We start from the raw sequence: 27,121 nt of genomic DNA on the forward strand, positions 1-27,121 counted from the left end.
CCTGTAGTCCCAGGCACTTGGGAAGCTGAGGTAGGAGGATCACCTGAGCCCAGGGAGATTGAGGCTGCAGTGAGCCGAGATTGGGCCACTGCACTCCAGCCTGGGTGACAGCTTTTGAGACCCTGTCTCAAAAAAAAAAGGAAATAATGCTATTGCACACTTAGTAGACTGCAGTATAGTGTAAACATAACTTTTATATGCACTGGTAAACCAAAAAATGTGTGTACCTCACTTTATTGTGATATCTGCTTTATTGTGGTGGTCTGGAACAAAATGTGCAATAGGTATGCCTGTATATGCTTTAAATGTGTCTATTTCATTAGCTCATTTAATTTATGGGAAATAGCCACCATATAATTTAACTGTCAGAGCCAGTACTCATTGAAATCAAAGTTACCATTTTTTTGTTTTGTTTTGTTTTGTTTTGTTTTGTTTTGAGATGGAGTCTTGCTCTGTTGCCCAGGCTAGAGTGCAGTGGTGTGATCTCGGCTCATTGTAACCTCCACCTCCCAGGTTCAAGTGATTCTCCTGCCTCAGCCTCCCAAGTAGCTGGGATTACAGGCGCCCGCCACCACACCCAGCTAATTTTTGTATTTTTAGTAGAGACAGGATTTCACCATCTTGGCCGGGCTGGTCTCGAACTCCTGACCTTGTGATCCACCTGCCTCAGTCTCCCAAAGTGCTGGGATTACAGGTGTGAGCCACCACACCTGGCCCAAATTTACCTTTTGTCAGAAAAAGTCTGACTTATTTTTTCAGTTCGAATAAATTAATCTACATTTTGTTAGAACCTCTCAGTTCTGAATCCCTGCTCTAGGTAGAGAGGTAGCAAGATAAAGCACAAATCCTTGTCCTAACCTTGACAACGGGAATAAATAAAGCATCATTACATTTCATGTTTCTTACCTTATTGCTGTGTTCTTGGTAGTCATGAAATTCTTCTGCAGTTGAAAAGCATTCTTTGTAGAACACTTGGACACAGGAAGGGGAACATCACACACCGGGGTCACACACCGGGGCCTATCATGGGGTGGGGGGAGTGGGGAGGGATAGCATTAGGAGATATACCTAATGTAAATGATGAGTTAATGGGTGCAGCACACCAATATGGCGCATGTATACATATGTAACAAACCTGCACGTTTTGCACGTGTACCCTAGAACTTAAAGTATAATAAATACATAAATACATTAATTAATTAATTAATTAATTAAAAAGAAAAGCATTCTTTGACAGTAGTTGGGGTGAGTGATAAGTTCATTAAAAAGGTTATCTCTCTTTCTTGATGTATTTGACTTCAAAGCATGCTAGTAGTCCTAAATACCCCATTGTTAACCCCACATTTTGCCCTTAATGGAACTATGTTAAGCAGGGAAAGTCGCTGAAGCCCTACCTTGGGTTTATGGTGTCTTCAATAAAAGAGGCTTCACCACCACAATACTTTTAATTTTGCCTTTTTTTGGCATACTGGAAGTTTTATGCTCCAAGACAATAAGTCATAGTAATATTTGGGTATGTGAGAGGTACGCCTTTCTTTTGTAAAGAAAGTCAACACATGAATGTTATTGAGGGTCTATTAATAGAAATTAATCTCCTACCCCGTTCCTTATTGAAAAGTTTTAATGTTTCCTAGGGATATGGCTACCCTTTTTTAAAGACCCCTGGACTAGATGACCCCCACGGGTACTAGAACTCGAAGATTCTGTGGTGTTATGATTAATTAGGTATTTTTTCGTTACGGGAGGAAAAAAATCATCACAATTGCTATCCCATTCAAGCACACTCCACCAATCTTGGATCTTTTGTTTTACAAATGAAGAACCCTCTTTTTCTGGAAAAGAACCACTGGTTAAATTACCTATATATGGGACTAACAGGATAAATAGATATACTTCGCGACACAACGATGTATTCACATATCATTTCTGTGAGAAAGATTTTAACCCCTCAAAATTAATTTGTGGAGAAAGAAACAAGGCAAGAATACCTAGCTTATTAAATGCCTTTGACATAGTGAAACCGGAAACCCTAGAAATCAGAACTTGGTTACCATTACCACAGCTAATCCTCTTGGGTAAACATAATGTTTTGGAAAAAAATTCTGAAATTGGCACCAGTTTATGAATTTATGTTTACCAGTTCTCAAAGCACAGGTATGCTATTAAAACTCAGAAAACCATTAATAGCAGCAATAGGGTCAACCCAAGAGAGTAGATTAAATTACATATGCTTCGGATAGTAGATGAAACTTGTTAATGACAATCAAGTATCATAGCCTTAGAAATGTATGAACTTGATGAATGAGTCTACATATAAACTATGTTCATATTAAAATATGATATGTATACTGACATCTTAGAGGGGAAGAGAACAGCTACTCTACTCAGTACTTTAAAATTAGTTTCATGTAGAAGTCAACCAAAAGACAAAAACTTATGAGGAACTTATGAATTATAACATAAAGAGTATTATATTATAATATCCATGTCACGTTTTTTTTGTTTTTGTTTTTGTGAGATGGAGTCTCACTCTGTTGCCCAGGCTGGAGTGCAGTGGCGCGATCTCGGCTCACTGCAAGCTCCGCCTCCCAGGTTCACGCCATTCTCCTGCCTCAGCCTCCCGAGTAGCTGGGACTACAGGCGCCCGCCACCACACCGGGCTAATTTTTTTGTATTCTTAGTAGAGACGGGGTTTCACTGTGTTATCCAGGATGGTCTCAATCTCCTGACCTCGTGATCCGCCCTCCTCAGCCTCCCAAATTGCTAGGATTACAGGCGTGAGCCACCACACCCGGCCTTCCATGTCAGTTTTTTAAGTTTTATCAATATAAAACTTATAAAAATAAGTATAAACTTTATGTCCTGACATTGTAAGTATATTCTCTAGGGTGGTTCAGTGACTTAATATATCTGATTTTATATGAAATAGACAAATTTAAAACTTAGTAATTTAAAATAATATTTTTGTTTTAATAAAAAGCAAAGATTTTATTGAGGATTATATACAACAGATGGTTTTGGAATTCTGCAGACCTTGATTTCAGTCTTGATGCCATCACTGACTTTGGCCACATCATTTACTTCTCTGAGCCTTAGTTTCCTCATCTCAAAATGATACCAACCTCTTGGGTGAAACTACCTGTCATATTGTAGGTTCTCAGTGAAGATTAGTTCCATTTCTCTCTCCCCTGAATCTTCTCAGTAAAAGCTCCTTCATGACAAATGTAGGTTCCTTTGCAGAAGCTTCCTAAATGAAAAGTAGAAATTGGTCTCAGATAATTAAAAATTTCTGAGTAAAGCAAGACGTCTGTTTAGCTAGAAAGCAAAATAATCTCTGGGTGGTAGCATTATACATATTTTTTCTCTCTTTATTTAACTGTATGTTCTAATTTTGCTGAAATGAACAAGTATTACTATTGTAAAATAAATACTTTGAATCCTATGAATGATCTACAGTTTATAATCTAAGAGTTGATGTGTGGAAAAATTATAGTGATTACTATAACTCAATTTGGAAATTTTATTCCTTAGATCCTTTTATATTACTGAATTGGTTCAAGAAAAATAGACCTGATAGCTACCATGATTGTGAACACTGGGAAAGAAGAGAGGAAGGGAGATTATAAATAATGCCTTTTTATTGAGTTTTCTAGTACAACCCTCTTCTGCCTCATACCTGGGTTATTGCAGCTGTGTCCTCACTCATCTCTTCATGTCCAGGCTTCCCACAGTTACTGCACAGTAATGCTCTTGAAACAGTGATTTCATTTCACCTCTAGCCCGCTCAGAACCTTTAATGGGTCTCCATTTAGTTATAGCTGTCCTTCACAACTGATGGTACGTGTGTCATGTAGGATGCAGTAGTCCAGATGGAAAGCAATTCTAACATTTGCTAGTGATGTACTCTCCCTCAAACCTCACATTTATCTGTAAGTGTGAATTTTTTGTGAATTGCTTCAGATCCTATAGGCCATAAACTGGGTCTGTGATTGCAGGTCATGTTCCGTAGTAATCTTCAATTCTGTTTCTCTTGATTATATACACACACCCCACCACCACACAAGAATAAGTGTGTTTGAGGCATCGAAATGCAATTTACCCATAATCAGTCTTCAAGTATCTGTTTGAAAAACATACCATAAATGACATGCACAGTAACAGAATACTAGTAAATATATACATCTTCAGGGAAAAGGGTGTAATAACACTCTTGATAGAGTGAAAATACAAGAAATCACTAGCATAAAGTATAAAGACCATATTCTTTAACCTGGTATTCAAGGCCCTCCACAGACAGATGCCACGTCCCTTCCCAACCTTATCCCGCATCCCTCCCACGACAAACCCATTCAGTACCTCCTGAGAGCCAGACGCTGCAGCTTGCCCTTGATGCACCAAACCTCATGGAATCCTTGTAACGGTGCAATCATTATGTTACTCTCCCCATTTTCTAAATGAGGTTTAGTATCTTCCTTAAGGTCACACAGCTAATTGTTGGCAGAGCCAGGATTCAAACCCAGGTTTGTCTGACTCCAAAACGGGTTTTCTTTATCTTGTTTTCTGGCCAGATGGATTTCTCTGCTGAGCCTCAACCTAACACCTGTCAAGTTCCACGGCCATGCTTGTGATAGCGATGTTTATCCCAGCTCAGAAACCTTATCCTACCTGTTCCTCAATGTTTACCACCAAACTTAACTCCTGTGAAATCTCTCAACCTCCAGCCTGCAGTGATAGTGCCTTTCTCTGACCCCTACTCATATGTTGCTTTAGGGTCTCACTTAATTTATCAGTTTGTGGGTGTTGTCTCCCCACCCAGGTAATTACTACTTGATAGCAGAAGCTATGGAAGTCTAGATAATCTCTAAGATTCTACTCTTTGGTTTATATTTCTTTTTTTAAGTCACCTACAGTGCTGCCGCTAGCAGACACTCAGTAAAAATGAACTCAGAGTTAAACTAATAACTCTTCACAGATAGTTAGAAGCCTGTCTCCCTTATCACTGAGATGAGATAGCTTACAGCTCAGACTTAAAATCACTTCCTCTGCGTTTTGAATTAACAGTTTAATATTTTTTTTAAAAAAGACAAAGTTGGTAGTAAGTCAACTTTGTTATCAGTTTTTTTTTAAGAGACGAGGTCTCACTGTGTTGCCCAGGCTGGACTTTAACTCCTGCGCTCAAGTGATCCTCACTCCTCACCCTCTTGTTGTTATCAGTGTAAAAGGGCTGAATTGATAGAAGATAATTTGCCCAGTTCCATTCTGTTCCTCAGCCTTCTGGACCCGTCTGCATAAGAGACAATGTAGTTATATTTCCACTCACGGCAAATTGCAGAAATTCTACCATGACCCCCATCAGAATAACTGAGAAAGAACCTTGGCAAAGAGGGAAAAGAGGAACATCGTACCAAAAAGAGGAGTCTTGGATCTGTTTTCTAGAAGGAGGCCATGCAGGAAGAGAAGAGATGGTGTCTCTTAACAGGTGGCAGAGATCCAGGGAGAAAAGAGGTTTTGTTCCTATGCATCAAAGATCAGTGTGGTCAGAAGTAACACAGTATGTCCACTAAGACTACAAGTGAGTTTGAAATGAGGCTCAAAAGAAAGAGGAAAAGTTATAACAGCCTACACAAAAGCTATGTGAGCACTTAAGCTTACCCCTCCTTCCTTTCCCCTCACAATGCCCCAAGTACCCCTTCTCTATCTCTCTGCCAACATCTGATGTTTTTCATTCATCCTAGTATATCATTTAGATAGAACCACATGAATCCGAGCCATCAGTTGGTTTTATTGTTTGCTTAAGGATTGATTTAGAAATCTCCATAATCCATTCTGCCTTAATTTACACTTTGCAGTGTTATAGTATGTTTAGAATGACTGATAAGTACCAGACCCTAATCTCTCCCAAGAAATAACAAGACTCATAATTTGTAAGATAATTATGTTTCAAGTGAACAGAAAGACTGTAGGTGTGAAAACAGCTTTAGTAATGGGCATACCTTGGGGGAAGTCAAAAGGATTTTAACTTAAATATCTTACGAGCTAAATCAGAATTAGTAAAACACCAGTATCTAATAGTAGAAGCTTTTAAAGTGCAAATTTTATGAAAGTAATATATCAGAAGATGAAATGGCTTGAGCATTTGGTAAAAATAACTTTTTCAAAAAGTTTAAAAACCTTTTTTGTTTTGTTTTTTTAAAAAAAATTTGTTCTTCATCAGTGCATCTCTTACATTCAGGAAAATTAGGTGGATTTACGCAAGAAAATAACACCATAGATTCCGGAGAACTTGATATTGGCCGAAGAGCAATTCAAGAGATTCCTCCCGGGATCTTCTGGAGATCACAGCTCTTCATTGATCAGCCACAGTTTCTTAAATTCAATATCTCTCTTCAGAAGGATGCATTGATTGGAGTATATGGCCGGAAAGGCTTACCGCCTTCCCATACTCAGGTAAGACTAGGCTTTCTTATCAATAAAATAAAAACTGCCAGTTGCATTTTTTGAAATTATTCTCTTTCTTAAGCTCAGCTGTTTGGTTAACTGTTTGACGACTTTTGAATCGACTTTCTACAGTAGAAAGAGTTTTGAATGTAGATTACTTGTTCTGAGGTTTTTGAATCAGTAGTGGGAAGAACAATATTTTCTTCCTGATTTGACTGTTTAAAATGTACTGAATTTTGTGAGGAACTTAATGAATATTGAGCATCATCTGAGCACCCAGTAAAACACCATGGATTTTCCAAGTGTTTTACAAAGATTCTATGATAATTTCCGATGATCTTATTCCTTTCATGTAATAGATGCATAACATATTCATCTCTAACACGTATTCATTCTGTTGAAAATGTATTTTTTTAGTTTATGCCAGATTTCCTCTTAGTAGAGAAATGATGGGAACATCAACATAAATATGATGACATGAGCTTTATCAACTCAGGCGCCGTGCCTCATCTAAAATGATCAACGCTGAGATGAAGAGGCAAGAGAGCTTTCAGAGATAACCAAGTATGATCATGTCAGTGTGGTACACAAGACAATTCACATATCCTTAATATCAAAGAACTTTAAAGTCGTTTCCCTTGCATAAAAATCCCCTCACAACAGCAATCACAGATGGAGAACTGCTGGCAATTCCACAGCCTTTTTCATAATCTAATACAGTACCGGGTCATAGTATGTAAACTGGAAATTGTCGCTTAATATAGGTTTCATCATCTCTAAGAGAAGTTATTTAAATTACCTACCATAAAATTGGAACTGAGACTTTCCCCAAGATCAACTATTACGTTAGTACATAGAGGAATATCAAAAATGTAAGAGTTGATTCATTAAAATTGACAGTAGGATGAGCCTAAAGTTATATTCAATAATCAGTTTATTTACCTAGAGAATTTCATGCTGATTTAGTGTGACTTATAAAATAAGGGCTGGAGAGTTTTCATGTATGCTTTATATCATATAATTTTGTGAGAAATATTTTTTCTATAACCTAGGAACATAAATTATGAAGAAAAGTTATCACATATTAATAAAGAAATTATATCTTTAAAGGAAGATGAGTAAGAAGATTTCAACATGCTTTTTCTAATGTAATTGTGGATTTAGTTCATATACATATATTAATTTTATGGCTGTGAAATTTCTGAATATCAGGCTTTAGTGTATTCATTTTTCCTATTTAATATTTTTAATATCTATATTATTAAAGTAAATTTGATCCTTATGCATTGTATACTTCTTATAATGTACTAATGCCCAATTTTAAATTTTATATTTTTGTTTGTTTGTTGGGGTTTTGGTTTTTGTTTGTTTTGTTTTTTGTTTGAGACAGGGTCTCACTCCGTCTTCCAGGCTGGAGTGCAATGGCACAATCTTACCTCACTGTAGCCTCAACCTCCTCGGCTCAGGTGATCCTTCCACCCCAGCCTCCTGGGTAGCTGGGACTACAGATGCGTGTCACCGCCCCCGGCTAATTTTTGTATTTTTTGTAGAGATGTGGTTTCACCATGTTGCCCAGGCTGCTCTTGAACTCCTGGGCTCAAGCAATCCGCCCACCTTCCCAAAGGACTGGGATTACAGGCATGAGCCACCGCGTCTGGGCTATTTTATTTTATTTTATTGTTTGAGATGGAGTTTTGCTCTTGTTGCCCAGGCTGGAGTGCGATGGCATGATCTCGGCTCGCCACAACCTCCGCCTCCCGGGTTCAAGTGATTCTCCAGCCTCAGCCTCCTGAGTAGCTGGGATTACAGGCGTGCACCACTATGCCCAGCTAATTTTGTATTTTTAGTAGACATAGGTTTTCTCCATGTTGGTCAGGCTGGTCCCGAACTCCCAACCTCAGGTGATCTGCCCTCCTCGGCCTCCCAAAGTGCTGGGATTACAGGCGTGAGCCACCGCACCCAGCCAGTCTAGACCATTTTAAAGTTTAGATTTGACTCCAGTTCATCTTATAGGTGACACTGACTAGGATATAATAACCAGATTTTCTTAAGGCTAGGCACAGTGACTTAGGCCTGTAATCCCAGCACCAGGAGGCCAAGGTGGGTGGATCACTTAAGGTCAGGAGTTCAAGACCGGCCTGACCAACATGGTGAAACCCCATCTCTACTAAAAATACAAAATTAGCCGAACGTGGTAGCGCACACCTGTAATCCCAGCTACTCAGGAGGCTGAGGCAGGAGAATTGCTTGAACCCTGGAGGCAAAGATTGCAGTAAGTGAGAGATCGTGACATTGCACTCCAGCCTGGACGACAGGAGCAAAACTCTGTCTAGGAGAAAAAAAAAAAAAGCAGATTTTCTTAAGTGGAAGTCCTCTATAACTTCAATTATAGTAGACAGATTGGATTTATAGCAATTGTCCAGTGAAATATGAAAAAATATTTTCCCACTGAAACCGCATATGTGATTATTTGTGTATAATTCAAGAAATATACCTCTAAGCTGAGCACAATAGTAAACATGTAACTTACAAATTCTAGAAAATAATTTCAGGTAAGAATTGTCTATTGTGTTGTGTACTTGAAAGGTTTATTTAAAGATTTAGTTGACTGCAAGTTGTATATAACATTTAAGATTAGAGAAATGAAAGGTGCAGTTTCGGGTTTTCTCATAATCCTTCTAGTATTTAAACACAATACATGTGATATCCTCTTTTCTTTTCTACCACAATATATGTGTTTAAGTAGGTTATGCATTTTCTTAAGCTTCACGGTTATTATAGTTTCTTCCTGTGGTTTATTCAAGATCAGCAGAGCAAACAACTGTTTCTGAGTTCAGTGTTTAAACATGAAATATTGTATAAGGCAGCCCAAATTGAACATTTCTCTGTTTCTGGAGAACATTAAATAAATCAACCTGAAATAATTAAAATTGGCCAGCCATTCAGAATAGTTGCTTGAGCTTTCGCAGTCTTTGTGACCCTTTGTAAAACTGCCCGTTTGATTGTTGCCAAGGAATCAGTGGGCTCTCTTCTCCCTGATGCCAGTTCATTCTCCTGGTCAGTTAGTGGCCTCAGGAGTCAATGCAGAGCCTTATGGTGAAGTATACTGTAGCATTTTAGTGCATTCACATGAAGGCTGTTGTCGAATAGGAGTTGGAAGCCTGAGTTCTAGCATACCCTCACCACCTTTTCACTGTGTGACCTTGCAGAGTCCCTTCTCTGAGCCTTAGTGTCCATTGGTAAAATGAAAGAGTTGGATCAGATGATCTGTAAAATCTCTTTAGTCTCTATATTCCAATTACAGCAAGACTGTGCCACTACCAAAGAGTTGATGTAAGGACACAGTTAAGTATTCATAGATTCTAAGAACTCATCGTTTTAGTAACGGAATTGAATTAAACATATAATCTAACTTCAGAAGTGAACTACCAAGATAACTGAAACAAAATCTATTTGTTTTTAAATGGTCTATTAGATAATCAGCATAAATACAACAAACATGGGCAAACTTTTCTTCTATTGATTTTCCAAAAGACGGCTTATTAATACATTGTAGTTTAAAGCAACTTTAAATGAGGATTTTTAAAGCGTGTATATTTGGTAATATTAAATCGTAAGAAAATGACCTTTAAACGGAGCTTTCACACTAAAATTATCTCACTTTATATGAAACCTGTATCAAGTATAAGCTTTGTCTCACGATGGCTCCCGCGGACTAGTGCAATTGAAGAGTTAGCCCCAAGAATTTCTTCCTAAAAAGAGCATAAGGTCCTAAGACTCCTCTTCTCCCCAAAAATATATCTGCATCTCCATCTTAGAAATATTACAAAGCAAAACTCACATTTGCCCTTAAGTGACCACTTTATGCCCTAAGAACAAAGATTATTAAGTATTTTTATTCCTTGTAATTTGGTAATTTTGGGCAAAGATGGTTTTAGTGTTAAAGTAGGGAACTTTTTTTAGGTATTTGAATCGCCCTCCTGAATTCATGTGCGAAACACTTCTGCAGATGAGCCTAGAACTGGGTAGATACTCAAAACCTGTCAGCTCCTCCTCCCCACCATCATGCCCACTACCCTGGCCTTATTTTATTGTTCACAGTGTGATGCGAATGGTTATTTCTATGATAAAGGTGATGGTTGTGCTTTTGCCTTGAAAGACCAGCTAAAACTCAAAATTCCTCCCGTTCACTTTTTCAGTTACCGTGTTTAATGTTAGGGAAGAAAAATGTTTATATGCTTCGGTCATAAAAAGAAACTTTTTCTTGTCTCTTTGCCATGCAAATGTGTAAATATTTAAACCTGATGAGGAAATGAATGGCTTATTTGAGACAGAGTCACCATTCAAAACTGCTGAATTAATTTTCCTCTGACAATTCTAGAATAGAATTCCAGTCAAATTTTATAGGTCATGTATCCACACCAGTCAGTATTTTCATCCTTATAAGGTATAAATGAAAATAAACATTTTTGACTGCTGATCAGGTTATACTGTTTTTATATATTTCTCACAGCTGAATTCTGTTCTGATGAAACTACACAAAAGAACAAAAAAAGGTTTTACTTATAAATAAAAATTTTAGTAAGTCAGAAACTGAATTAGATACTCTAAGTTCTCTCCAATATTAACAGTAGAGGTCTATGGTCAGTAAAATGGCAATATATTTAACTGTGATTCTCAGAAATTCCAACAACTGATTTTATTCCAGTTTGATTGGATTAAGAGATTCATATAATCTTTTTCTTAAATAGGCCTCTGATGAAATTCCATTTAAGAAACCTATCAGAAAGTAGAATATTTATGATTTATATATGCAGTAGTATAATAATAATTATTTATATATAGTACTATGGCATATGTTTCACCATAAACACACTTCAGGAATAGAATGAAACTAGGTAACATTCTATAGACACTGAATCACTCTACTTTTAACAATTGTAATCTAAAAAACTCCTTGAAACTACATTGGAAAGTCTTTTCAGTGTCTTTCAAATTCCCTGTATTATTTCTAGTTACAAAATTTTACCCCACTATATTAACAATCACATTTTATACTTTTAATTCTTTTTTAAACTCTCCAGTCACCAATGTTCATGTCTAATTTTACTACAACAAAACTTAGGTTTAATGATGACCCATTCATAAGAATAATCAGGCACGTTTACTGTTACTGCCATCCTTTCAGAACCCCTCCATTGTTTAACTGTTTAGATCAAAGATGTAAAGGCATCTTGTTACATGTTTCTAATCTAACAATAACTAAGTAAAGCCCATGGCGTTCTCCATGGTGCTTGAGATGGTCACATCAGGGTCACAAGAGAGGTGGAGTAGGGTGGGAGGAATGACCCCACTTGGAGCAAAGTGCTCTTGAGTTCACAAGCCAACCCCACCATTACCAGATGTCTGAGAGCCTGCTACCCTCCTCAAGATTCAGATTCCTTCACCTGTAAAGTGCAAATGTTAAAGCCTTCCTACGAGGGTTCCTATGAGGAACCAGCACGGAGTAAGGATTCAACAGTAGTTGTTGCTACATGAATGTTAAATCAGAGAAGACTGTACAGGGTTATCTTGTGGTCTAACTAAAACAAGGTTGCTGGCAACATGGATGGAACTGGAGCTCATTGTGTGAAGTGAAATAAGCCAGGCACAGAAAGTCAAATACTGCATGTTCTTGCTTATATGTGGGAGCTAAAAAAGTGAATGAGCAGAAAGAGGAGAATGATGGTTCTCAGCAAACTAACACAAGAACAGAAAACCAAACGCCGCATGTTCTCACTCATAAGTGGGAGTTGAACAGTGAGGACACATGGACACAGGGAGGGGAACATCACCCCAGGGCCTGTCAGGGTGTCAGGGGCTAGGGGAGGGATAGCATTAGGAGAAATACCTAATGTAGATGATGGATTGATGGGTGCAGCAAACCACCATGGCACGTGTATACCTATGTAACAAACCAGCACATTCTGCACATGTACCCCAGAACTTAAAATAAAATTTAAAAAAAAGAAAGAGTAGAATGATGGATACCAGAGGCCGGGAGGGCACTCAAAATACGTACGACTATTATATATCAATTATGAATTTAATGCATTAAAAATAAGCCTGCTGGATTGGAAATGTCAGTTCATGTAGATTTTATGTTTGTATCCCCAAACTGCCTAAACTCATCAAACTTTTGATCAGTCAGTAGAATTAAATAAATTTGGAAACCATATTGCCCAATAAGGGAAAAAAATGGTCCCTGATGTTTGAATCCAGCCCTGTGTGGCGAATAGTTTGCGTCCTCCTTGTAAATGCTATGCATGGGAGACTTCTACCATTTGGACCTGTCAGGAACTTCTTTCTAACATTGTATTTGTTAGAGCAAAGGAAGACAGATTGAAGAGAAAAAAAAAAAGAGAGAAGCAGCCACCCTTTATCTTTCTGACTATTTTTCCTCGTCCTCCCCCCAGTATGACTTCGTGGAGCTCCTGGATGGCAGCAGGCTGATTGCCAGAGAGCAGCGGAGCCTGCTTGAGACGGAGAGAGCCGGGCGGCAGGCGAGATCCGTCAGCCTTCATGAGGCCGGCTTTATCCAGTACTTGGATTCTGGAATCTGGCATCTGGCTTTTTATAATGATGGGAAAAATGCAGAGCAGGTGTCTTTTAATACCATTGTTATAGGTAAGAATAGTCTTCAAAGCAGCATTTTCCAGGCTATAGCCTAAACGCCGTGTTTAATAAAAACTAAATTATCTGTACCAATTTGGGGTAATTCCTAGGGTGTTAAAGCCCAGGTAAAATGTGAGAATTATTTTTAAACCTTTATTTGGGAATATGTGACAAACTGTGAAGCACTGGGAGAAAATATTTTCTGGAATTACCTTGGGAGAGGAGAATATGTCATGAAACACTTTGAAAATCTGCATTTGAAGTGACAGTGCTTTGCTTTACTACTCAAATTATCTAGCATAAATGAAGATCAAAGTGATACCGTTTATCTTTTGCAAGAGGCAGGCTATACAACAAGTGTTCCTTCTTTCCTTTTTCTTCAGAGTCTGTGGTGGAATGTCCCCGAAATTGCCATGGAAATGGAGAATGCGTTTCTGGAACTTGCCATTGTTTTCCAGGATTTCTGGGTCCGGATTGTTCAAGAGGTATGCAAGTTAGATTCTTCTCTTAAGCCGATATAAATAAGCTGTAGAAACACAAGTGATTCCAAAAACTACCGAGACAGGAAAGAAAGGGGGGGGGAGACTGGCATATTGCTTGTTCCAGCGATGTGTCTTTTCTTTCGGAAGCTCGGTGGAAAGTGTGGCTGTAATTCTTCTGTCGTGTCTTGTTTCACAGCCGCCTGTCCAGTGTTATGTAGTGGCAACGGGCAGTACTCCAAGGGCCGCTGCCTGTGTTTCAGCGGCTGGAAGGGCACCGAGTGTGATGTGCCGACTACCCAGTGTATTGACCCACAGTGTGGGGGTCGTGGGATTTGTATCATGGGCTCTTGTGCTTGCAACTCAGGATACAAAGGAGAAAGTTGTGAAGAAGGTAAACATGTCAATATTCACAGAAGTCTGTTGTTATCTTCATAAAGAAACAGATTGTATCTGTAATCTTTAGTTGGGCAGATCTCTTTTATACGCTTCCTTTTGAAAGCAATTTTGAAAAATCCATGTTTATGAATGCATTGTTTTACTAACATTTTAACTAATAAAAAGAACAAGCACCAAAGGGCCCCTTTGCTCTTTTTCAGCACTGTGAATCATTCCTTTTCTTCACTCTGAGAAAGCAAGCAAACCTTTATGCCTTGAAACTAACAGCGGACGGTTGATTTTATTTTTCTTTTTATAGTTTTTTACATTGATGCCAGCTTCTAAATCTAGCATTTTGACATCTCTAGAAAGACAGAGTAGTACACATAATATGCTACCTAAAAGAAGTATGACATCATGGATGTGTTCCATAGCTGTATACGTATAATGATGAGAGTCGAGATACCATACTGTAAAGTGCAGGTGAATTGTTTTTTCAGAAAGCAAAAAAGCACCATTTCCATTCTTCAATCAAATTGATTTTATTGATCTGCACACACAAAGTAATGCAATTAAGTCTCTGGAATTAAATTTTCAGGCCATTGACCCTACAAGTGTAAAGTTTTATTGAGTCAAATTGCTAAATTAAATCTCGTCATCTAAAGCACATTGAAGTGAATTAAGAAGGATAGAGAGTATGCAACTCATTTATTTCTCAAACAGTGTGAGGATCCCATACAGCTGTCAGTACTCAGTGGTCACAGATTTTGTTATAGAGAAGGCAATACTTATTACTCTGTGATTAGGCAGAACAGAGAGCAATAGTCTGAAACCTCAAGAGCCTGTGTGTGTAATTCAGGAAAATTACAAATCCTTGCAAGAGTCTCAATTACCTAAATGGCATTAGGCTGGATCTTAATGCTTTATTGTATTATAATTCTTTGCATTTTCAGAAACAAGTTCTTGAAAATGGTAGATAAATATTTGATTTTCCAAAATGTTCATATAAATTAGATTAGGATTTAATTCTTTTTTCTGCATGCACTATGATATCTTCTGGATTTAATAAAATTGTTCTTTTCTTTACACCAGCTGACTGTATAGACCCTGGGTGTTCTAATCATGGTGTGTGTATCCACGGGGAATGTCACTGCAGTCCAGGATGGGGAGGTAGCAATTGTGAAATACTGAAGACCATGTGTCCAGACCAGTGCTCCGGCCACGGAACGTATCTTCAAGAAAGTGGCTCCTGCACGTGTGACCCTAACTGGACTGGCCCAGACTGCTCAAACGGTGAGGTTAATAAATGCAGTACAATCGAGTTGCTTAATACTGTTTGGCTAAAGATGATATTTTAATCTTTAAACCTCCCTTTTTAAACCTAATACAAATTTTAGTAAAGTGATTCTTTATGGAAATAAATATTAAAAGTAATGATATGTAGTTGCCTTATAAAAAAGAAGGAACCAGGCTTAGCCAGTTTGTCACTAAAATTTCCCCTTTAGTATTATGCGGAGACTCATCTTTCATCTGCATGAGATACCATATCTTCTTAACTCTCAATTTATGGAACTACTAACCAAAACTAACCTCTCTAAAATCTTAAGTATAGCTTGGGGATTTAAGCACATTATCTTATAAACAGGGAAGGCTCAATTTAAAAAAATCATTTGACAATATAAGGCTAAACATCACAGTAAAGAGTATACAGGTATAGACATTATGATATGAATAAATGGTTCAACACTGAGTTTTTAATCATAATAACATGGTTATAATAGAAATAAGACAAGGTAATTTCATTCAATCAGCCAAGTTGTTATTGAGCACTTACTATGTGCATGGCATTGTGATAGGCCCTGTAAGACTGAAAGACTTAACAAATCGTGTCTGCCCTCTAGAACAATGGCTTTCTAATTTTTTGACCTTGAACTATCATCATGACCTAGTATAAGTATACATGCACATACTCACATAATTGAAATAAACATTTTACAAAGTGATACACGCTGATTTTTTTCAAGCCTATTTTATTTTTTTCAAATGTTGGTTGCAACTCATGAGCTAATTCCATAACTCATAAGTTATGGTTTGAGAAGATGCCATTCTAGTGTGGAAGATTACAGTTTATTTAGGGAGATAAGATGAATACATATGAAAAATTCTAAATCAATACATCCTAGTTTAATACTATATTGAGTGTTACATGGAATATTATGCTAAATTCAGTGGACATTCAGAGGAGTGATTCTAACTTAATGAGTATTCAGAGTTTTCAAGGAGACTTGTATTAACATTTCTTTATTTAATGATGGTGGTAGTCTGGGTAAGGGTATAATTTTTGGCTAGGTGAACAGTATTAGAAAGTACTTAAGAGCATGGACTGTGAAATCAGATGTGTGGATTCATATCCAATCTGTACTCCTTAAGAGCTATGTGATCTTAGGCAAATTACTATATGCCTCAGTTTACTCATCTGTAAAATCATGGGACACTCTTCACAAAGATGCTGTGGGAATTACTTGGAATAATATATATAACATAGTTAGTACAGAGCTTGGCTGATAATAAATTCTAAAGATAGCTTCCACCACCATCATCACTACCATAGAACATCCCTAATCTGAAATTCAAAATGCTTCAAAATTCAAACCTTTCTGAACACCAACATGATGCTCAAAGGAAATGCTCATTGCAGCATTTCAGATTTTGTATTTTCAGATTAGGGATGCTCCAGGGGTATTTATTCTGCAAATATTATAACATCTGAAAAAGTTTAAAATCCAAATCACTTCTGGTTCCAAGTAATTTAAATAAAAGATTAGCAAAGATGCAATTGTGAGAAATATCATTATATTCAAGGGACAGTGAAAAGAAAAGTATTTGGAGGCAAAAAAATTGGATTGGGCCCAATTTTGGGGAGTATGGTTTAGAAATGATAGTTTTAGGCAATGGAGGATTTATCGATAGCAATAATTTGCCCACTAAGACAATGAGAGTATTGTTTTTGGAAAACTGTCCTGTAGATAATAAGTCAGAGAGCATGAATTGTGAGACTTTGATGGCGAAGAGACAAGCTGGAGGACTTTCCCACAAGCGTGAGGTGATGACAGCATGAATTGGCTGGGAGTCAGTAGAAATAAAAAAGATAAATCTGAGGGACATTTGAAAGGAAAAGCAGACAGGACCTGCTGAAAAAAACACAATAGAGACGTGTGTTGAGAAGAGCTGTAAGAATGAAGCAAGGAAAATTGGTGCTAATGTTAATGTCCCTGAATGAAGCAAGAAAGTTGGGAAAGGGGGAGGCTGATTGAAGAGGCAGGACGTAGGGAGGCAATGGAAGAGAAGTGAGAAATAGAAAAGAGATGAATTCCGTTTGGATACTCAAACTAAGCAAAACTACACAGTTCATCAAAAGAAGAGGAAAAATGAGAAAGAGAAGCAGGGAAGAGAGAAGTGGAGGAGGAAGAGGACAATGATAGAGGAGGAAGGACAAGCAGAAGAAAGGAGAAAGCAAATGGATTTTACTAGCAGTGTTGAGTGAATAAAAACATCCTGCTTAGATTAAACATAAGTCTTGGCTTCAGTGAAGGGGTCTATCTACTTTCCTGCCCACACTGATTGCCCCCTTCTCTAAGCCTGTTTAACAGTAAGTGGCTGAGAACCAGAACTCAGACACTGAACTGCCTGGGTTCAAATTTTGGACTGGCCCCATCACAAAAAAAAAAAAAAAATTTGGACTGGCCATTCACTGGCAATATGACGTTGGGCAATTTATTTAATATCTCTGTGCCTCTGTTTCTTTATATGTAAAATGGAGATAATTACAGGACTACTTTATACAGTTGAGGTAAGGCTTAAATGAGCTAGTATGTGAAAAGCACTTAGAATAGCACCTTAGACAGTAAGTGCTCAGTAAGTGTTAACCATTAATAGACGTAGTAGAGGGTGGTGGTAGTAGTTACTATGGTAGAAGTATTCTAAAGGCTAATTGTAGTTCGTCATTCTTAATTTCTCATCAATTCAGAGGAGCTTCCACATTAAAGCAGTGATTGGACATGGTTCCCTAAATGTGAAAGTTATGAAATGCAAATTGTTTCCTCTATTAGTACAATCTAATGGCATAAAACTACATGAAATCTTGTGCTAAGAAGCTAATTCACATGTTTATTTTTAGCAAGAAGTAAAAAGGCTAGTAATTTTTACAAATTGCTGTTTCCTGGCCTTTTGAGAAGCTTGGGTGACATCTCTGCTGCCCTATGAGTCAGTATCAGCATGACAGATTTATCTGCTACTCTTTACCTACTACAGATTGAATCCTGGAAGCCCAGACTAACAAATGTTTCCTATCAGCTAATGTATAATATTGATGAAAATTTTCTGTTGAACTCATATACTACTTAGAGACAAGTTTTCATCCTGAGTTCTCCTTCCCATTCTGATTTTTGTATGAGTTTTCTTCCTCCTTCCCTCCCTCTCTTATCTCTCCTTCCTTCCTTCCTCCTTCTCTTCTTCCCTTCCTTCCTGTTTTATTCATTCTCCCTCATCTTTTGGCCCATACACCTCTGGATAGCTTGAAGAACCAGAAACTTTGTAGAGAAAATTCACATCTGCTAGAGCAAATAACATGCATAGAATAAATAAGAGTAAAAACACAAATTGGGATCTGGATTAGAGAGAGCCTTGAATGTCTTACTAAAGAGTTTTAGGGTATTACCACCAACCAACACTTACCCAGCATGAGTGAGTGGTATTATTTTAAATAACATGTTAACTTGTTTTGTCCGCTATTCATAAAATATATTTTGTAATTACATATAATTTACATATAAAATAAGCATTTAGTGTTTTCTGTTGAGTTTTTACCTACACTAAAAAACCCTTTCCACAAAAAATATCCAATTAAATGTTATAGAGATAATTACTTCTATAGTAAAGGTACTTGGTTCAGGTCTCTTAGGCCTCCATCAGTAAAACAGGCATATTAAGACTAGCTGTAGAATAATACTTGCTTGAAATACTGTCATTCAGATTTGCTTCCTACAGTTATCCAAGTCGGAAAGGAACAAGCACAATAGCCCCTTTTTTCATATAAAGTTATTATAGTATATTACCTGAATTATTTTATAAAGGGTAGTTTGTAACTGATACTAAATAACTCAAAAGTTAATTCAGCCCTCTTCATAAAATGATACTGCTATGAATTGGAAAATATACATATAAATGTTCATTAAAAGATTAAATTGGCTGCCAAAAATCACACATCATTATTTTACATATTTAGACGGAATTTTTTTCATGCTACTGTAATTATTTTGGTAGTTGAAAATCTAATTTTACCTGTATACTAAATGACTGCTTAATCATAGTGAGCAGAGATCTTTATCCTATTCATCTTGATATCCTCAATGCAAAAAAGAAACTTCACATATATTTAACTCTCAATAAATAGAGTAGTATAATGAATATAATACTCTATTTTTGAAGAAAGTAATTATACTAAGTATAGAAAAAATCTTTATGAAACTTTGCTATTAGCCACAAAAAGACAGAAAACTTACTTAGAATTCATAGTAAAGGTCTCAAATATGCTTCCAATCACACTGAAAATATCTGGTCTTGTGTACCTCAAATTTATCTGGTTGTTGCACAGTTCTCATTTAAAGCTTATAAAAGCACTGTTAATTTACATTTGTGGCTTAAAGTTTACAAGCAGTATAATTCTGAATTTCTAAGTGAATCCTAAAGGAAAACACTTTACTGCCTACCTCTTTTGTTGATGTGGAAATGACCTTCAGATATCTAAATTCAATAAGAGAATAGACTTTACACCCGAAGAAACATTGGTTAAGCTGCTAAAAGAGAAGAAATGAATTATTTCCATCTGAAAGTTTATAGGTTTGAAAGCAACAGAGCTTTCCTCTATCTTCAACAGCAGTTTGTTCATTAATTAGCCCTTCAATTCCACTTCAATTAAATTAACTCTAATTAATAAGTTCATTACAAAGATTGACGCACCTTGCTCAAAGCTAGTGTGCTAAATGCTGATAAACACCATCACCCTAATGAAAAATTGATTAGATTGAATAAAAAGGGTACCTCAGAAAGAACCCTCTCACTTCTGGAGCTGGGTTGATGTTATGTTGCTCTGAAGTTAATCAAACTATCTTGAATCTCTTAATCAAAAGTTTAATTCAAAGGAGATAGAAAATATTGCATGAAAAAACCTGCGTGCTACCCTCTTCCAGTTAATAGTCCTGGGTGTTGTTTATAAAAAATATTACAACTCTCGTAGTGCCTTGATAAGGTGTTTAGCCTGTGAGATAGAGAATCACGTGTCTGAGAAATGTTACCTGGGGAATGAATAGGGAAAACAGAACATGTGACTACATAAACAGCTACTATTTTTTAATCAAAAAAAGGTTTTAGTACATTTTCTGTTTGTTAGAAATGATTTTAGGTTTTTATTGTTCAGTGCTTTATTTTTGTAAGAAAACCAAAACTAATCAATAGTCTTAGAATTTTAGGGGAAAAAACTATAGCTAACTTTAATCTTATATGTAAAAATGAAATAACCTTCAAAGTTTCTTTTACCTTTGCCTCTCCCTGTCTCTCAATTGGAACTAGTTAAATAAAGCTTTTAAGAAAGCTTAAAATTTTTTTTCTTACACATCTGAATTCTTTTTAAAGACCTAACCTGGTATTAAAACATTTGAATTCATTTGGTCACTTGTGCTCTTTTCAGTAATTCTAGGAATTGAAAAACCTTGTTTTTCAAAGGAGAGTCAATTATATGTATTATTAAACTGGTTTTGTACTGTGGACTAAGAAATTTGTATCTGTCAACTGTACAAATTTACTGAATAGGAAAAACAGTTTCTTTTTACATGCATGTCTGTGTCAGAAGCAAGCTAATTTACTTAAGTAGATTCCTCTTAGTGAAAGTTTCTGAATATTTAAAACATTTAAATGTGGCATTAGAAACAACCCCATTTCAAATTCTTGCCATATGTATGAAATCCAAGTCCTGTTAGATACCTGAGATGCTGAAATATTTCATTAATTTGGGGATGGGGGTGTGGGGACATGTTTTCTTGGTGATAGGTGTATATAAATATGACCACCCTCTATATATGTAATGTTTTCTATATAAAGTATTGTATATGTAAAGAAATTATTTCTAACAATTGTCATGTGTATTTTCTGCATGATTAGAGCAGCATGTAAAATTAAATGATGAATAAAGACGTAGAGTTCCACCATTGATCATTTCCTAGTAGTCAGTGCTGAAATTTACGTAGCATACAAATACTTTTGATTTCTTTTGGATGATTTTGTGTTTCCCTTGAACAAATTTGTGTGGAAGATAAAAGCTGCTTATTAATTCCCCTTCTCTCTCCCGCCACTCTTCTCTCCTGTTTTGTGTCCTCTTCCTCCCACATAGAAATATGTTCTGTGGACTGTGGCTCACACGGCGTTTGCATGGGGGGGACGTGTCGCTGTGAAGAAGGCTGGACGGGCCCAGCCTGTAATCAGAGAGCCTGCCACCCCCGCTGTGCCGAGCACGGGACCTGCAAGGATGGCAAGTGTGAATGCAGCCAGGGCTGGAATGGAGAGCACTGCACTATCGGTAGGCTTACTGCAAGTCTGTGTCTGTCCCCTTCCTCCCAGAGAAGAGCACCGACGGTCAGCTGTTTTCAACTTGGAAAAAGCCTATTTCTTTACGTTATTTTTTACTTGTCTTTCTTAACACGAAATTATTTTTTAAATATGGTTGTCATTTTATAATGGCAATTCAGTTCTTTTTAGAACAGCTGTCACAAGTATGAGCTATAAACTTTTTTATTCATTGGTTTTTGGGACGGCCACAAAAATGGACTCACATAAAACAGACTTAATGATTTGTTTATGTGAAGTTTTATCGAATATTACTTCTTGATGTTCCATATTGTCATTGCATTTCTTAATAGCAGATTTTCCACTTTAGAAAAAAATGCTTTAAATTTTTTTCAAATATATGCCCTTGTTGGCCTCTGTAGTTTCCAGAATCACATAGCTTAGACTTGTCCATATCTTGAGTCTCTGCAAAAGAGGTTTGACTTATTATGACTTCATTTTGTGGTATCATGAGAAATAAAGTAGAATCAAATGTACAAATCTCGCTGCTCTTAAACAAACCTGTATGGTTAACACTTTTTCATATATGATGACATTTGTGAACATCTGTAGGTTAAATAAAACCATCAGATAGATGTTTCAGATCAAAACATTAGTATATAAACAATATTTAGCATAGATACAAAAGTATCCAAAACATATATATCATGTTTTCAAGATACTTAGTGTCTTTGCTTTTACCATTTGTCACTAAAATTAAAATGTTTAATTTTAAAAGTACAACAAAAGTAAGTAATAAATTTCTATATCACTTCAGTGAAAGTACACAGTATTAATTATAAGTGGCACGGTCCTACCAAAATTTCAGAATTTGTGGTATAGTATTTCTCCACATTGTTTTACATCCCTAGGGTGAAATTTGATAAATCTGTTGTGGGGAGTGTCAGTGTCTTTTAAAGATTTCTTCTTCCGATGTATCCGTAAGTATTATGTACTTCGCTTTTTTGCTCACAGGATTTGGTTAGCCGGGAACTTTGTCATGGGAAAATTGAAATCATATGTGTCTTATAAATTGTCACAAGTGTGTCATTATACACTTCATGTAAGTTTTTTTCTAATCTTACTGACATCCTTGACATCTGTTTCAAGGGTCCCACCACGCCCCCACGCTGGTGATCTTCAAGAAGAACTCAGGACCCAGAGGTAGTTGTGTCATGGCTATAATGTATCACAACCAGAAAGAAAAAAGACACATCCGGCAGAGTCTGCAGAAATCCATGCACAGGCTTCCTATCTTCCTTCTCTCCCACTAGGAGAGGTCATGTGTAGCATGCTCCTTTTCCCAGCAGCGAAACGAATCGACATATTTGCAGTATTTCTGCCCAGGGAAGCCTGTTCGAGACTTAGAGCAAACTTGTCAAACCTGAGGCCTGTGGGCCGTATGCGGCCCAGGACAGCTTTGAATGAGGCCCAACACAAATTCATAAACTTTCTTAAAACATGATGAGTTTTTCCTGCAATTTTTTAGCTCATCAGCTATTGTTAGTGTTAATGTATGTTTTGTGTGGTCCAAGACAATTTTTATTCTTCCAGTGTGGCCCAGAGAAGCCTAAAGATGGACTTTCCTGACTTAGAGTCTAAGATTTTTATTGGGGCTTCTCCAGGAGGTATCCTCTGTCTGCCACAACCACCAAAATTCCAACTCTCCTAAGAAGAGTAGGTGTGGACAAAATAACCTTATCAGTGTAGGGAACATCCAAATTTCCAGATGCCAGCCAAGGGCCAGCCCGCCAAAATCCTGCAGATCAGGCCCACTGTTAGCTCTTACTTGCACAGCATCCTTGGAGCTTCGCTTGTTGCATTGGAGCTTCCCGCCTGAAATCAACAACAGGTGCCCACAGTCATAGCGCTTGCACAGGGCTCGTCCCCACTGATGTGGCTTTCCCCTCCCAAAGAGGCTTTGTAGGGCAGTGGCAGCAGGTTGTTCATGTGAACTACATTAAGGCAGAAGAAAGTTGATGAGCAGGATTTGTGTATCTTTTTGTGGCCATACAAGGGACAATGCAATACCTCTATAACCAAACAGCTCCATGCCCCAGGTCCCAGAATGCCTATATACCAGAGGCAGGGCAGGAAAACTATACCTCTGATCACATTCCCTCATTCTTTGTGACTCCACCACCCGATACCCGATACATCAGAAGAAATGAGTTGAGTCTAGCTGAGGGAGAAAAGTTATGATCTGACTGTATGTATCTTAGGAAGTACAACAAACACGTGTGTATAGCTTTGAAAACCAGGAAGTGTGCCAAAAAGTTATCCATAGGCGGATTTAACTTACCAACCAATAGTTATTCAACAAATCATTTTAGTGTTGTTCTCAGTGGCCTTGGTATTATTACATGGATAATAGTTTCCCATAGATGAGCTGTTCTTGAACAAATTTCTAGTTGTTTAGGAACAAACAGGATTTTTATTAGCAGTGGGTCTTTGTATTATAATTTAATAAACCCTGCAATAGTTCTTAACAATTCCATTTCCTATCATTTTAATTTATTCTGTTGCTTTTATACTCCATATGAATAACATTGTGGGAAATAAGGGACCTGCTTCATTTACAAATAAATCTTAGATGTGAACCTTTTAAAAGATGTAGAGCACCTTTAAAGCATTCTGCTCTTTTATACTAATAAGATGAGTTATTTCCAATTTTGGCATACAAAGATCCAATTGCCTTTCCCCTGTTTCCTTACTACCTGTGTATATGCCCACCATAGTTTCCTGGTTAGGGCCCTTAGTGGCCCTACGGGGCCATTTGTGAGCCACAGATTAAACACCCAGGAAACTCTGGTGTGTTTTCTCACTTGGGATGGTTACTGTTCTTGCATTTCCTCCCCATTTTAACCCCTACGCATCTGGCTGAAAGAAGCTGCCACTTGGTGAAAGAATGCTCATAAATCAGCCAGATTTTTTTCTTTCTCCATATTATGTGCCATCTCATTGAATACCAAACAGGAAGGTTAATTGAAAGAGAAATGGAGGAGAAAGTAAACAGAAGCAAACAAAAATTCCCACTAGAAAGCAAAGGACATTCTTCATTAGTCATCCTACTGTCTTCATAAACTCTGTCTATGCTTTCATAAAACCATAGGCATTTTGATAGTAAAATAGGTTATGAATTTGGAGTGTTCACTGAACACCCTGTCTACCTGAAAGGGTTCTATTCTGATATTTTTATTAGAGTATTCATATTTTCCTCTCATTATGAATCATGTGTTCAGCAAATTAGGCATATTCGTCTGCAGGTTCATCATCCCAAGTCCTCCTTTCTTGGGTTTCCCTTTGATTGGTGATGCATGCAGATGGAAAATGAAACAAGGAGAAATCTACTTTTAGCAATATTGTGATTAAAATAGATACTTCTCCTTTCCTCCCCAGAAAGCATTCATGATTATTAGACCCTTTAATAAATAAAGAAAAAGAGAAGTTACATGATTAAACCACATCAAATAAGCACCAGTACTTACTGCTAAAATGATTTAACAGTAATAGCACCGATATAGATGCTCCACTACAAAAATACTCTCTTTTATATGTGACCATTCCATATAAGCTTCAAAGGATTATACTCATGTGCTGCCACTGTTTTTCATGGGTAGGAAATATGTAAAAATATTTAGAGGATTCAGAGACAAGTTAAAAATAAATATAATGAAATGTTTTTTAAATAATAGTTGACATAATAAGAATATTATCTGGCTATCTCTATGTAAAAAAGCTTCAACAGTTCTGTCATCTGAGAGTTGAGGTAGGTCAGAGAAATTGGGCTTCTTCTTGCTTAGAAAAAGAGGGAAAATCTCCTATGGGACTGTCCTGTGGATGCAGTTAGTTGGCCATAGATGCAATGCAAATGCAGTGGTAGGCTCTGCTGAACAGATGGTTATAGGCAGAGTCAATCACTTTTAAGTGTAATACGAAGTAAATAACCTGGACAATGATAAATACTAAGTACCAAATTTTTACTACTGCTAACCTATCACTTCCACAAGAACCATTCTTTTTAGTATTTGTTGAAGAGGTTTACCCCAGAATTCATTCATTTGTATCCCAGAGAATTGGAGGCTGTAAGTGAGATTGAGACCATAGCAGGGTAATGATTGAATAACATATTTGATTGTTATCTACTATGGAGGGTTGTTGTGAAGGAAAAGAAGACTCAGCTCTCTGTAGACAGGCAAGTTGTCTTCTGGAGGCTGATTGGCATTTTCCATTTATCCAGGAGACAGAAATGGAGAATATGGGTTTACAATGTATAAATGTTTGTTAGATATAATGAAGAAGCTCGAGTCAGAAAGCATATTTAAATCCTGGAACAAGCTACTCAAGAAATTTTGGAACCTCCCAAGTAATCGTAGTATTGTTAAAGTTTAATACTATGATTACTTAGGTGTGAAACACTGGAGGTTTCGTCAGTTCTTTTTGTTAGCTTAAGGAGTATTTTTAGAATGGGAGTTTTTTTTTTAACTTCTCTCCATCCGTTATCCTAAAAGATCAAGTCTCTTGTGTAGTAGCCCTATTTGAAGGACCCCTCAAGGTCTCTTGCAGTTCTAGGATTTTTTCGCTGTTGATAATTTCTGCTTTATTTGGAAAACTACTAGATTTAAACATGGGGTTCTCTTTTTATCTCTATGTCATTTAACTTTTTGTTTTTCCTATGGCATTGAAACATAGTGAGAAACCATCTTCACTTTTTCAGATCATTTGGGGTTTGTTTTGTGGGATGCTCTACTTTGCATGCCTCACTTACTTTTTATTTGTTAATTAATTCATTTATGTGTCCAGTAAGCAATTATTGAACATCTCTTCTGTGATACTGAGAACAATTTCTTACAAAAGTCAGTGTAAGATAATAAAAAAGGTATGGGCTTTGACATTTTAAATAAAATGTTTTTAGGTCAGTTTTACAATTTATTCACTATAACTGGTATCTTTTTTTTCTTCTTTTTTTTTTCTTTCGAGATAGAATCTCACTCTGTCGCCCAGGCTGGAGTGCAATGGCTCAATCTCGGGTCACTGCAAACTCCACCTCCTGGGTTCAAGTGATTCTCCTGCCTCAGCCTCCCAAGTAGCTGGGGTTACAGGCGCCCACCACCACACCCAGCTAACTTTTTTAATTTTTTAGTAGAGATGGGGTTTCACCGCGTTGGCCAGGCTGGTGTCGAATTCCTGACCTCAGGTGATCCACTGCGCCCGTCCTTTAGCTTTTATCTTAACTGTTCTTAGCCTCAGTTGGGTTTTTTCGCAATGTAAAATGGCTATAATAGTACATATATGAGATTTTGAAGCAGAATAATGTTTAAGAGCTTTGGGAATTGAAATTCTTGCCGTACCACTGAGTGACCTTGGGCAAGTCATTTAACCTGTTTTATATGAAATGTGAATATTATGTACTTCATGGGATTATTAGAATTAAATGGAATACTAGAATGTAAAGCATTTAGCAAATAATGTTCAATAAATTCAAGTTTTAATTTTGTTATTAAGTGTAAATGAGA

General features: G+C 37.0%; 1 protein-coding gene across 31 annotated transcripts in view; it reads left to right on the forward strand.

Annotated features, from left to right (window-relative positions):
• The window catches only part of TENM3 (teneurin transmembrane protein 3), a 1,355,412-nt gene that overhangs the window by 1,219,160 nt on the left and 109,131 nt on the right, over window positions 1–27,121 (forward strand). For all 31 annotated transcript variants that reach the window (XM_017008385.2, XM_017008389.2, XM_017008390.2 and 28 more), the window contains 6 exons: window positions 6,233–6,447; window positions 12,894–13,104; window positions 13,476–13,577; window positions 13,771–13,965; window positions 15,042–15,242; window positions 21,394–21,579. In XM_017008385.2, coding sequence (XP_016863874.1) covers window positions 6,233–6,447; window positions 12,894–13,104; window positions 13,476–13,577; window positions 13,771–13,965; window positions 15,042–15,242; window positions 21,394–21,579 — 1,110 coding nt within the window. The remainder of the gene's footprint in view (window positions 1–6,232; window positions 6,448–12,893; window positions 13,105–13,475; window positions 13,578–13,770; window positions 13,966–15,041; window positions 15,243–21,393; window positions 21,580–27,121) is intronic.

The sequence above is a fragment of the Homo sapiens genome, chromosome 4 (assembly GCF_000001405.40).
Source record: "Homo sapiens chromosome 4, GRCh38.p14 Primary Assembly".
NCBI classification, from domain to species: domain Eukaryota; kingdom Metazoa; phylum Chordata; class Mammalia; order Primates; family Hominidae; genus Homo; species Homo sapiens.